Below are 13,420 nucleotides of genomic sequence, written 5' to 3'. Positions count from 1 at the left end.
TAGAGCAATGAATCGTTCTTCCCAAGATGTCAACCACACCTCCATTAAGATGCCCTGCTGAAGGGTACCCTTGGGTGGGCCTGTCTTCCAGCCTGCCTTCCACTCACAGCCCTCTCCCCTACTTCCTCCAGCACCGCTCCACCGTGGCATCCTGCATGCACAGACAGGAGACCGTGGACTGCCTGAAGAAGTTCAATGCCAGGAGGAAACTGAAGGTAACAGGTCCTCACCCTCCACAGTCCTGGCCATGGGACTAGCTCTGCCTGGGTCTCCACAGAGGCCAGGAGACTCGCTCACTAATTCTTTCCTTCATTGATTCAATAAGCATTTATTGAACACCTACTGCATACTGGACAGCAGGTTGGGCTTGGGGAGTGAGCGGTGAATGACTGAGCCCTTGCTCTAGTGGAGAGGACAGACAAGTTCCTGGGGCGTTATGGGGCAGTGGTGAGTGCCATGCCTGGGAAAGCCTCAAGATGGTGGCAGAATGCAGCAGGACAATGGTATTCTGGGTCTGGAGCCAGGGGCGTTTAAGCTGAGACCTTGGAGGATAAGCAGGTATTAGCCAAGTTAGAGTCAGAATGGGAAAGTGTGGCCGGGCGCAGTGACTCATGCCTGTAATCCCAACACTTTGGGAGGCTGAGGTGGGCAGATCACCTGAGGTCAGAAGTTCAAGACCAGCCTGGCCAATGAGGTGAAACCCTGTCTCTACCAAAAATACAAAAATTAGCCAGGCATGGTGGCACATACCTGTAATCCCAGCTACTCAGGAGGCTGAGGCAGGAAAATTGCTTGAACCTGGGAGGCGGAGGTTGCAGTGAGTGAGATCGTGCCATTGCACTCCAGCCTGAGTAACAGAGAGAGACTCTGTCTCAAAAAAAAAAAAACAAAAAAAAGAATGGGAACGTGTTCCAGACAGAGGAAGCAGCCTGTGCAGAAGTTTGGAAGTGCGCCTGACCCCTTAGGGGCACCACAAGTGGTTCAGAGTGGCTGGGGAGAGCTTTTGGGGGTGAGACATGACTGAACGTGAGACCCTGGTCAGGGAGGCGCCCCAGCTGCCCAGTACTGTGGAGGAATGGCTGAGGCACTCAGACAGTGATTGTGGCCCTGAGGAAGCTCAGTGGCACCCAGGTGGTCCCAGAGCTTCACACTCTTGCAGGTTCTGTGTGCTCTCAGGGTGGTGACAGCTCCTGGCCTGGCCTTTGCCAGGCACTGAGGGGCCCCTGGCCAGTGGAACAGAGGAGCCGTCAGCACGCTGGGGATGATGAGGGAAGAGGCGGAGGCCCCAGCTCTTGTGGAACCTCCTTATCTGCTGCTCCCAGGCCTGGAGTGGAGGCTTAGGATGGGGACACAGACCAAGGGGTGGTGGCCAGCATGATGCCAGGAGAACTGAGTCCCATCCCCATCCTGCAGTGGAAGCTGTGTCACAGAGGAAGTCTCAAAATATCAGAATCAGGGATTCTTAACATCATAAGCAGTGGGATTCAGACAGTGTCAAGTCAGGTCTGAATCAGATGGCTCTGGAACAAAAGGGGCCATTAGCCCCCAGCCTGCTTGTTGATGGAGGAGGCTTTCTCTACATTGAGAATCCTCCTGGGATTCAAAAGATTATAAATCATGGTGCTATAAAGACACATGCACACATATATTTATTGCGGCACTACTCACAATAGCAAAGACTTGGAACCAACCCAAATGTCCAACAATGATCGACTGGATTAAGAAAATGTGGCACATATACACCGTGGAATACTATGCAGCCATAAAAAATGATGAGTTCCTGTCCTTTGTAGGGACATGGATGAAGCTGGAAACCATCATTCTCAGCAAACTATCGCAAGGACAAAAAAACAAACAGCGCATGTTCTCACTCATGGATGGGAATTGAACAATGAGAACACTTGGACACAGGAAGGGGAACATCACACACCGGGGCCTGTTGTGGGGTGGGGGGAGGGGGGAGGGATAGCATTAGGAGATATACCTAATGTAAATGACGAGTTAATGGGTGCAGCACACCAACGTGGCACATGTATACATATGTAACAAACCTGCACGTTGTGCACATGTACCCTAGAACTTAAAGTATTATATAATATATATATATATATAAAATAAAAAACTTGGAAATAAAAAAAAAAAAGAGAAAATCCTCCTGGGATTCTCTGAGCCCAGGGGCCATGGAGGGATGAGCTAGTCCTGGAGCAAGATGCTCTCAGCACGGGGCAGAGGGCTAAGAGGTGGAGGGGTTGGGGGACACGAGGTCTGCTGTTGTTGCCCAAGCAAGAAAAGTCCATCATCTTCAGGAGCCTCTGCTGGTAGGTGTCCCTCAAGCTCTTCAGCTTGGGCGGGCCAAGGGGCCCATTAATATCTGCCCCTAGGACGGCCTTGTCCCAGGAGCTGTACTGGCTAAAGCCTAGCTCACCCCGACTTCTCCAGGGGGCGAGGGATGGGCTCTGGGCTGGGGTTGGGGTTGGGACAAATGGAGGGGCAGGGCAGAGGCTTTGGCTTCTTCTCTGAATGCAGCACCTGCCTCTCCTTCCCCGTGGCCCTCCCGTCTCTCTGTCCCTCCTGGGTCCCTTCACTCCGGCCTCCTCTCCCACTGCCCTCTTCTTATGTCTTGCAGGGAGCCATTCTCACCACGATGCTGGCCACCAGGAACTTCTCCGGTAGGTGGCAGGACCTCAGGGTCCCCAGTAAGCCCTGCACCAGTTCGTTGGGGGCACCGTCCTGTCAGATATTGGAGTGCCCCCAGGCCACTGGGCCTGGGGAGAGGGAGTTGTAGAGGACTCTGTGACTAAGGGCTTAGCTCACCTGCCACGGCCTGTACCCAGAAGTGAAGAGAGGTCAAAAGTCAGCAAGCCCAGGGCCCACCAGGACTGGTTACAGATTTAGTCTGGCTGCCCACTCCTACAGCAGTGCTGGGGTTCTCAGGCTGGGCCGCCTAGAGGGGAAGGCTTCTGATTGCAGGGGATTGAGTTCTAGATGGGGTGGAGCCAGGTCCAGGGAGTAACAATATTGCCCACCATGATTGGAGCCCTGTGCTAAGCAGTCCCGTGCTTCCACTCAGGTGGCCTACATGACAAGGCAGCAGAGGGGATGATGGGGGTGCTGCCATCCCTATTTCTGGGATGAGGAAGCAGAAGCTCAGGAAGGTGAGCTCTGACTTGTCCCAGGTCACATGGCTAGAGAGGCAGAGCCTGCATTCAGCACAGGTTTGACCAAACCCAGGGCAAGTGCCTTTAACTGGATTGGGTCACCAGTGAGTCCAGGGCAGGAGCGTCCCAGGCCCTTGGCCAAACTGGGCTGGTTAAGGCAGGGAGTGCCCAATCACCTGAGGCATGTGGCTTTGCAGAGAGAAGGGGAAGGGATTATTGTCAGGGTTTAGCAAGAAGCTCCTCTTGGCACATCAGAGAGGGCTGGGGCCAGTGCCCTCCAGAGGCTTCCTTCTGGGGAGCGCAGGCCGCTGGCAGGCAGTAGAGGAGATATAGATAGCAGATAGAGCAAAGCTCACCCGAGGGGCCCTCTGACTGGGGCTGGGGCCAGCCGAGAAAGCTGCTGCAGATTTGTGGCCAGCACCACAGCAAGAGGGCAGCTCTGAGAAGGGGGCAGCTGGCTGCATTGAGTGGGTCCACCTGCCCATGTAACCAGTTGGGAGGAGTGAGACCCAGAGGTGGGCAGATACTAGAACTTCTGACTGGGCTTTTCCTACCTCGTTAAACTGCCTTCCCACCCTCTCCCTGGACAAGGATCCTGCCATTCCGTAAACTGAAAGATGAGCTACCCAGATAGTCAGAGTCTTTTTTTAACAACTGAAGCACCCTAAAGAACTCTAGTCCTGAGCTCACAAAATGGCGGCCTGTGAGCTGGATTGAATCTCTTGATATGCTTTGTGGAGGTAGGGGTGTTTTAAAAATTTTTTTGAATGAGTTTCTAACACTTAAAAATTAGGAAATTTCATAGAAAACCCCAGATTGCTGTCGTCTCTTGAAAATTAGACGCTGTGGCCTCACTGGACCCACGATCCTGTGACAGTAGGCTGGAGCTGAGAGGGGCGTCTACCTTGAGGCTCGAGGAGAAAGCACTCCCCCTGCCCCACTGCACATCCTAGTCCAACCCTCCAAAGCCTGTGGTGAATGGACAGCCATTCCTGTCAGCTTCGGGATCCAGAGGTGGCCCCTGCCTTGGTTTGCAAGTAGGGAACTTGGAATGAGAGCCTCGAAGGGGTCATAGGTGGAAATGTGGGGGTGACTGGGAAGGTGACCTGCCATGAGCCCCATGCCTCAGAGCCCCTGGGGCATCAGTGGCTCATATGACCCTCCTCCCAACTCCCCCTCTCAAGGCCACCAGGAGAAGTCTTATCATGGCTACCATTTCCTGAGCATGTGCGGCTTATGGGTCAGGTGCTTTGCTAAGTACTTCACAGATACCTTGTTTCATTTAAGGTATTTGCTTAAGTCTGAAGCAGCCGGATGCCTGTGGGCAGGGCTGGACATTCAGGCCATTTCCTGGCTGATGCCCACTTCCAGGGCTCTGGCCAGGAGGTGAGGAGGGAGGTAAGGGGAAATGACAGCAGGGGAAGCCCCCAAAGAGCTGTTGCTCTGGTTGTCCCTGCCACCCGGGCCATAGCCAGTGCCAATATGGGGCTCTGGAGTCTGAGGTTGGGGAGGCCTATATGGCCTGAGGAGAGAGGCAGGGGATGGGTGCTCTGGCAGGGTGGGCCCCAGTGGGGGCATCTGCTTCTTGTCACTGGCAAGACGCAGCCTGCAGCTGTCCGGAGTGAGTAGGCAGGGCTGACACATGACCTCCGCAGCAGCATGGGGCTAAAATTAGAGAGGGCCAGGGTGGGGAGGGCGTGTCCAGCCTGGGGCCAGGCAGCCAGACCTCGGGTTGGCCACCGCCAGCACGGTGGTGACAGGGATTCAGAGGGAATCCCCGGGCTGAAACAGCAGCCCACAGTCCTGGGACATGTTGGACACCTCCCTCAACCCATGAAGCCAGAGGGTTACGCTTGAGATTGCTGAGAAGGCGGGGAACCCAGGCAGTCCCTGGGCCTCCAAGGAGGGAGGAGGAGGAGGAGGAGGAGGAGGAGGAGGAGGAGGCCTCCCCCAGGATCGCTGGGCCAGCTCTGCTCCCTGCAGTCTGCCCTCCGGCTGCGTGTGGATGCTGCTCGTCCTCGCCCTGTGGGCCCTGGTGCCCTGCCTGGCGTTGTTAACCCTCTACTTTTTCTCCTCCACAGGAGGGAAGAGTGGGGGAAACAAGAAGAGCGATGGTGTGAAGGTAAGCCCCTCCAGGAGCCTGGCAGGGCTTGGCTCTGGCAGCGTTTCTGCCAACAGAGACCGGCTTTCAGGCCTGGAGCAAGACCCGGGCCTTGCTGATGGTGTCCTGGGCAGACGTGGGCCACATTTGTGGCCAGGCTGTCTCCAGACCCACGACCTAGGCTTTGGTGCCCACCGTTGCGCCGTGACTGTTGGGGGGCAGATGGGAGAGGGGGGACTGGAGGAGGGTGGAAGTGACAGGTGTGCTGGGGTGGGGGCAGGCGCAAGGAAAGGGGCAGGTCAGAAGGAGATTTCTGTGGTTCTCCGAGGCTGGAGAGCTGGTGTGCAAGAGAGGGTGCAAGGAGAGGACAGAAATGGTCATGAGGGGTGACCTCCGTCCTGCCTATGTGTGGGCTGGATCGGGCCCCTGCCCCGCTGTACACCTTAGTTCCACCCAGAAAGCTCGTGGAGGATGGACAGCCATTCCTCTTGGCTTTGGGTTCCAAGGTGCCCCCTCCCGGCAAGGCTTGCTGGTGCTGGTTCAGTTCCAAAATCCCCTCCCGGCTCCAAGGGCCTGCCCTGTCCCACCCCTAGAGCCCGAGTTACCCTGTGGTCCCTCCACATCCTGCGGTCCTCCTTCCCGTCTCTTCTCTCTTCTCCCTCTGCTCTCTGGGGCCTGGTCCCCTGCTCTCTGCAGTTCCCTCCTCCTCTGCCACTCGATCTTATCCTCTCTTGAGACCCTGCCTTTTTCTGGGCTCAGAGCCCTGCCTGGCGAGGGCCCCAGGGCTGGGATGTGCCCAGGACATTGGAAGGTGTGGGATGCTGTATGAATACAGCCAGATGTGCTGGTGGCTTGATGGCTTTGTCTAAGGAGGCATTTATGGTCTCTGGCCGCTGGTTTTGGTCTGTCAAGGTTGCATGCGAGGGAGTCTGGGCTAGATGTCCAAGGCCAGGATTGGGTCTCCCCTCTGTACTTAGCCTTCTCCTCCCAGCTTGAATTTTCCCCTAAGTACAACGAGTGGGGTGTGGATTTGATGATCATTTCCAAGATTGCAGCTTTAAAAACAAACAAAAAAAGCAATAAAATCCTATCTAATCATTCTCCCTTCTCATCTTGGGTGCTAGAGGAATACATAATTATTTGGTTATTAGTCCAAGACAGTGGTTTTCAAATTGAACTCTTTAGATCCCAAAGGTACTGGACTGGGGAGGCACCTCTGGCAGCGGATGGGGTGCTGTGGGATGTGGAAGGGGGATGCCAGGTTAAATGGTTCTGGGCTTCTCATACCCACTTCAACCAGAGCATGATCATGGTGAAGAGAGCCCTTGGGCTTGCCTGCAGCTGGACCTCGGCTGGGTATTTATATTCCCTGAGCCTGCGCTTCTTCATTCATGCAATGAGGTTAAAAGAGATCTCCACCTCCTAAGCCTATTGGTGAGGATTAACTAATACAATGCGCCCTGAGAGCTTAGCAAGGTGCTGGTATGTAATACACACTCATGAGATGCTAGGCACTATTATCTTTCCTCTATTTTATGTATTAGACTTTTGGGTAAAATTTCTCTTGAAAACCAAGTTTTCTCAAGAATATTTGAAAACCACAGATCTAAAGCCAACTTAATTTATAAAGTTAACAGGCACTCATTCCAAATCCTGTAATGGAATCGGGCATTGAATTTTGGCTTGCCTGCTGTTTTGGGTTAACCCTGAGCCAACCCGCCATCCCTCTATGTGTAGGGGTAATAGAGGGATGTGCAATGTGGGAGCTGCCAGCTTTGGAGTAGCTGGGGCCCTCTCTGACCCCTGTGTGGAGACGCTGAGCTAGGGGTGCTGGGCGCCCTGGGGAAAGCAGACTTCCTGGTTCCGATTTGGGGGATGTGGGGATAGAGACCAGAGACACCGGTGGGTTGTGGCCCAGGTAACTAGAGGAGAAGGAAGTAGAGAGAGAAGCTGCCCTGGTCTGCTTGGCTCTTGGATGTAGCCCTGGTAGAGGCTGGGCAAGGGGTCAGGAGAGGCCTCCATCAGGCTGGTTCTTGGGAAGAAATGCTTATTAGCTCTTTTAGGGCAAGGCCAGGAGGCAGAAGCTGCCAGATGGCAAGGACAGCTCACAGCATGGTGGGGCTCTGCTGGCCACTGCAGGCTTTCCAGTGGGCACAGCTGAACAAAGCGTCACTGCTTCCTGTGGCGCAGGACAGACTTCTCAGGGTGGCCTGGGTGTGGAAGAAGAGGAGCTCAAAGGCAACTCCTGGCCCAACCATCTCTTTGTAGCTCATCCTCCTTCACTCCCTTGGATGGAGGACAGAAGAAGTCCTATTGGAAGATAAGAATAACCTGGGGGCCTGGCCCAGGATCTGGGGAGCCTGGCCTGCCATGTCTTGCTCCCGGAAGGAGTGTGGGGAGAATGGCGGAGCTGGGGGTCCAGGTGCATTTTCAGTACGATTGAAACTGGATCGCAAGTCAAGAAGCCATGGGTTCGAGTGTGGGCCCTACTGTTCTCCCCCTGGGTGACCCAGGCCAGCGATTCTGTTGCCTGTTCCAGGGGAGCACAGCAGTTCTTTGCAGGGGCCTGGTGAGAGGGTCACACCAGAAGGGCCTGGTGGAGCCACATCACAGGCTCCTTTCACTGTCTCACCTTCAGCCCAGCAGGGAGGCACACATTCCTCCTACCGCTGGGCAGCTGGAGACAAACCCCATTTCATCCGGGGCTTAACTGAAGAGGCAGTGATTGGCTTCAGCGCTGCAGGAATGGCAGAGATGTGAAGCTATATTATCCTTTATGGGCCTTGGAGGGCTTTTCGAGGCTAATTTTGACCATACTGTTTCTATCATCCTTGCTAACCTTAGAACCATGCTTCCACATGTGATTCTAAGAGATGCGGTTTCTACTTTTGGTGAAAGAGGGAGATTTCTACTTTCAGTGAAAGTCCCTTTAAATCAAACTAAAGTACTGGTCAATACAAGATTATTAGCATCATCGTTTGTGATCCAGGGAAGTTAAGTCTTTCTATCACCAAGAAGCAACGTCCCCCTCCCGGCCACCCCAGGCCTGGACTTCTAGGAGGAGGGCCGACTGCTCATTCCCCTCAGCCCCACTCACTGCCCCTGTTGGTGTCCCATTGTGCATCGTGACCTCTCTCCCCATGTCCCATCCTGTCACTGTGCGTCCGAATCTGATGCAGTCTCTGCTCTGTGTTTCCTCCTCGTGTCCCGCCTGGAACCTCCTGGCCCCTGCGCGGCTCCTCGGGTTTCTGCTGACAGCTGAGCTGTGTGGGGCCTGGCCCCTTCCCCATTCTGTGCCTGGCCTGGCTCCAGCCAGGGAGGGAGGACAACCAGGGGAGAGGGGAGGGGAGTGGAGGAAAGAGGGGAAGAAGGAAGAGAGAGAGGAGGAGGAGAGGAGAGGGAAGAGGAAAGGAGAAGAGAGGAAGAAAAGAGAGGGGAGGGGAGGAGAGGAGAGAAAAGAGGAAAAGAAGGAAGAGAGGAAGGAGGAGGAGTTGAGGAGAGGGAAGAGGAAGGGAGAGGAGAAGAGAGGAAGAAAAGAAGGAGGAGAGGGGAGGAGAGGAGAGGACAGGAGAAGAGAGGAGAGGAAGAGGACAAGAAGGAAGAGAGGAAGGAGGCAGAGGAGAGGAGAGGGAAGAGGAGGGGAAAGAAGAGTGGAAGAAAAGAGGGAGGAGGAGAGGAGAGGAGAGGAAGGAAGAGAAGAAGGAGGAGAGGGGAGGGCGAGGGAACGGAGTAAAAGAGAGAGGAGGGGAGGGGAGGGGAAGAGAAGAGAGGAAGAAAAGAGGAAGGAGGAGAGAGGGAAGGAGACAGGGGAAGAGAGGAAGAAAAGAGGAAGGAGGAGAGGAAGGAGAGGAGGGAGGAGAGGGGAAGGGAATCGGGGAGATGAGGGGCTGACTGCAGGCTGATGACTGTGGAAGCCACACCATCCAGCCCAGCTGGGGAAAATGCAGGGTCTGTGAGCATTTATGCCCCTGTGAGCACACGGGCATTGGAAGTGTCCAGTGAGCCACCCCATCCCTTCTGTGGAGGCCCCGGATGGAAGGCACAGGGCCTTGAGTTCAAAGGCCACTCCTGGCCCAACCATCACTTTGTAGCTCAGCCTCCTTCACTCCCTTGGATGGAGGAGGGAAGAAGTCCTATTGGAAGATGAGAATAACCTGGGGGCCTGGCCCAGGATTTTGGGGAGCTCACTGGATCTTGGAGTCAGAAACCCAGAATTAGACCTGAGACCCTCAAGGCATATCCAGTGCCTCCCATGGCAAAGGCCTGCCCTGTGGGCTCCTCGAGTCCCTTCTTTCCAGCAGGGAGAGGGGCCTCCTGGCCTCTCTGGTATAAGGGCATCTAGAATAGGATGAGCCTTTGGAGAGGGTCTGACTGTGGGTGCCTGGAGACCTGGACAGAGGAAAGAGCCTGAACGCAGGGCCTGGGTTCTAGCCTCAGCTCTGCTAGTGGCTTGCCGCGAGGCCTTGTGCAGGCCACTGCACCTCTCTGGGCCTCAGTTTCTCATCTGTGCAATGCAAGGGTCTGTCTTCACCTACCATCTTCTGTGAATGGGAGTCTTTAAGACTCCTGGCTTGGAGAGCTGAGGGAAGGAGAAGGTAATTTACATTTGTCCCCCTCTCCTTCTCTTGGTACCGTAGCCAATACAGGGGATGCTACAAATCCCCAAAATGCTAGTGTAAGCTGAATGGCAGGGCCAAAAGACTCAAGTTCTAGACTCAGCTCCACTTCTGGCTGAGCCTCAGTTTCTCCATCAGCATAAAGGGGTGGAATAGGCCAGCCACCAGGAGGTTGTGAATGCAAGCTGGATTGCAAAGGCTACTTAGAGGACTGGCTCCCATGCTTGGCCCTGCTTTGGCATCACCTGCAGATATTGTTTAAAATGGAGATGCTCAGGCCGCACCCCAGACCTAGTTATCAAACTCCTCAGAGGGGACCTGATTCTGTTTATTGTAACGAGTTTCCCAAGTGACTGTGACAGTCAATTGGGAATGAGGTCCTCCTAGCCGAGATGCACGGGGAGCCTAGGAGAAGACATTGGGCCTCACTTCCAGGCCTGAGCACCCTTTGTCCTTCAAGAGCATTGGATTCTGGAGGCCTCCAGTGACTGGCTTCCAGAGCCAGGATTGGCTTTTGCCATCAGAGTTAGGCAGGGTGGGTAGCCCTGGTCCCAGGGAGGCTTGGCCATGAGCTTGGCTGTTAGATCGCTAGACCCAGGCAGTGTGCATGAGGACTCAGAGCTTCAGGACGAGGACTGGCCCCGCCAGGTCAACTGTTGCTGGTGGCCTTGACTCCTTGACTCCTTGTCCCGATGCCAAGCCGACAAAGGACTACAGAGGATGACCCCGAGGCCCATCCTCCTCCCAAACCTCCCCTGTCGTTCCTCTGCTCCCTGCCGTTTTCACGCTGTGTCTTTTCCTGTCCCATCTCTTCTCCTTGTTTTTCCAGAAAAGAAAGTCCAGTTCCAGCGTTCAGTTAATGGTGAGTGTCTGCCGTCTCCTAACGCCGGTAAATGCTGGGCCTCGAACCCTTGCTCCTGCCTCCCTCCTGCAGGCTGCACTGGGAACCTGGGGCGGGGAGAGGGTGCTCAGGGCGTGCTTGGTACGTGTGCCTTGTGTGACAATATGTGTGTTGTGTGTGTGTGTTGTTTGCGTGTTTCTGTTGACACCTCCAACTCCACGGCCCAGACCAGCAGGCTGACAGCAGACCTGAGATCCTCCTCGGGTGTGAAGGTGGATCTGAACCCAGTCCTATGTCCAGACCTTGGCTTCTCGCTTCTCCCTGCCCCTCTGCTCTAGAATTCATCTCAGGCTTGGTTTGTGCCAATCGCGGCGAGGGTGGGGCTTGGTTTGGCCAAAGTAGTAGGTGCCACAGAGGCCCCTCTTGAGCTGGTGTAAGGCTACCAGGCCCGCCGGTGGCAGGGGAGCCACCAGCCCTGCCTCTGTCTAGGGTCCAGTGGTGGCATGGTGGCCCACCTCCCTCTTCTGGTTCCATCGCTGTCTCACTCAGTCGTGTGGTTTTTCTCCCCTCTGAAGAGCCCACCATCTCTCACACTGGGCCTCCCTCTCTCTCTCTTCCTCCCCTGCCAGTGTATGTTCCTCCCCACTCTGCGGCCGCCATGGTGTCTCTCTGCTCCTCCACACCCCTTCTTCACCCCCTCGAGCAGAAAGGACCCAGGACGCCCCTCAGTCCTTCCAGAAAGGCCAGGGTTCTCTTTGCAGCCATCCCTTTCCCCCACCCGGCCCCTGGCCACCTGCTCAGCTGGGCCCTCCCCGTCTTGAGGCTGGAGAATCTGACAGGGTTTTCAGGACAGCATCTGGAAGGCAGAGCCTGTGAGGCTCACAGAAACCAGCCGCGTCACCAGGCAGCCAGGGCCTGGCCATGCCTCGTCCCGCTCCCAGGCAGGCCTCACCATCTCCTGTATTCTCTTTGGCAGGAATCCTCAGAGAGCACCAACACCACCATCGAGGATGAAGACACCAAAGGTAGGGAGGGGCCTTCAGTGTCGGGACCCCTTAGACTTCTGGAACCAGCTCTGAGCAGACCTCTTTTTCCTGACAGCTCCCACGTGCCAACCTCATTTCTTGCTCATCTACAGAGAGCTTCGCTCTGGTGCCTTATAAACTGGGCACACTGGGAGGCATCATTCCCATGGAGGGCGGGGGTGGTACTGGAACTACTGCTGGTGTGTAGATAGGTTTTCTTATTTTATTTATTTTTATTTTATTTTTTTGAGATGACGTCTCGCTCTGTCGTCCAGGCTGGAGTGCAGTGGCACGATCTCGGCTCACTGCAACCTCTGCCTCCCAGGTTCAAGCGATCCTCCTGCCTCAGCCTCCCAAGTAGCTGGGATGACAGATGCCTGCCACCACACCTGGCTAATTTTTTGTATTTTTAGTAGAGATGGGGTTTCACCATGTTGGCCAGGCTGGTCTCCAACTGCTGACCCCAGGTGATCCTCCTGCCTCGGCCTCCCAAAGTGCTGGGATTACAGGCATGAGCCACTGCACCTGGCCAGTTTTCTTATGTTAGAGGATATATATTATATGTGTATTAGAGAAAAATTTAACATGTTCAAGTCATAAGTGTTTGGTAATGGTATACATGTTCCTTTTGAAGTAAGTGTTTTTGAGTTTTTTTGAAAAGTGAATTGATTTTAAAAACAGTAATAACTGTAAAGGAAGGGAGAGCAAAAATCCAGAAAGCTCCAGTGGCTGGAGTATGGGAAACACTGCCTAAGACCCACCAAAGATGCCGGCGCCACTGGAGCTAGTGGCCAGCAGTCCTCAAAAGCTCTCAGGTGGGGGAAGCAAAGCATCAGGTAATTGATTGGATTGTGAGTAAGGATAAAACAAAAATAGTAATAAGGGCCGTCATTTATGGAATGCTTGCTGTGTGCTAGCCCCGGTCTCAGCACCTTATCTGGACTGACTTCCTGGAGTGTCACTATAGCCCATGAAGTAGGTGCTGCTGTGAACCTCATTCTACAGCTGAGGAAACAGAGGACAGAGAGGCCGGGTATGTTGGCCTGTACTCTGTCGTCCCGTGGCTCACAAGGATGTGGCTAGGGTTTGAACTCAGGCAGTCGGATTCTAGAGCTTGGCTGGTAACCGCCACTCTGAAGGCCTCGGTGGTGGGAAGTGCCCTTGGAGCTTGGAGGAAGGGGCAGGGATTGCTGACTTCTGCCCTGGGGACACCAAATCCTCCAAGTGTTAGCAGCCAGACCTCCTCCTTCCCCAGGACAGGGAGCTCAGTGGTTCACACACTCAGGTGTGTAGCAGAGATGCCTGGTGGTGGTGGTAGTGGCAGGGGGGGGTCTCTGAAATATAAAAAAAGGCCGTTGACCTCGAGGGAACTCAGCAGTACCAGTTTAGATATTTTGCCTTAGAAAACAGAGATGGGAAAAAGAGCATTGTATTACGTAGGAAACATTTTTGTAAAATTGTGATTCAGGCTTTAAGGCAGTTTTGACGCACCACATACCAAGGCTGCCTCCTGACGCTGCCAGGATGCCTGGAAGATGAGACCCGCCCCGTGTGTGTCCCTTCCTGGTCATTCCCAACCTGGGCGGTGGTGGGTACTCTATCACCACAACCTGGCCCTAGAGCAAATCCATCTTCTGTGATGGCACCAGGGACAACTTATAAAAATACATTATCTTGAA

General features: G+C 54.6%; 1 protein-coding gene across 5 annotated transcripts in view; it reads left to right on the top strand.

Moving 5' to 3' along the window:
* The window catches only part of CAMK2A (calcium/calmodulin dependent protein kinase II alpha), a 70,640-nt gene that overhangs the window by 39,690 nt on the left and 17,530 nt on the right, over positions 1 to 13,420 (top strand). For 3 of the 5 annotated variants that reach the window (NM_001363990.1, NM_171825.3, NM_001369025.2), the window contains 4 exons: positions 132 to 215; positions 2,627 to 2,669; positions 5,240 to 5,280; positions 11,693 to 11,741. In NM_001363990.1, the coding sequence (NP_001350919.1) occupies positions 132 to 215; positions 2,627 to 2,669; positions 5,240 to 5,280; positions 11,693 to 11,741 (217 nt within the window). Of the gene's footprint in view, positions 1 to 131; positions 216 to 2,626; positions 2,670 to 5,239; positions 5,281 to 10,704; positions 10,738 to 11,692; positions 11,742 to 13,420 lie in introns of all 5 variants that reach the window. The other 2 variants (NM_001363989.1, NM_015981.4) reach the window with 1 other exon arrangement.

Source organism: Homo sapiens, chromosome 5 (genome assembly GCF_000001405.40).
Source record: "Homo sapiens chromosome 5, GRCh38.p14 Primary Assembly".
In the NCBI taxonomy this organism is placed as follows: domain Eukaryota; kingdom Metazoa; phylum Chordata; class Mammalia; order Primates; family Hominidae; genus Homo; species Homo sapiens.
This window is presented reverse-complemented; position numbering and strand designations above follow the sequence as displayed.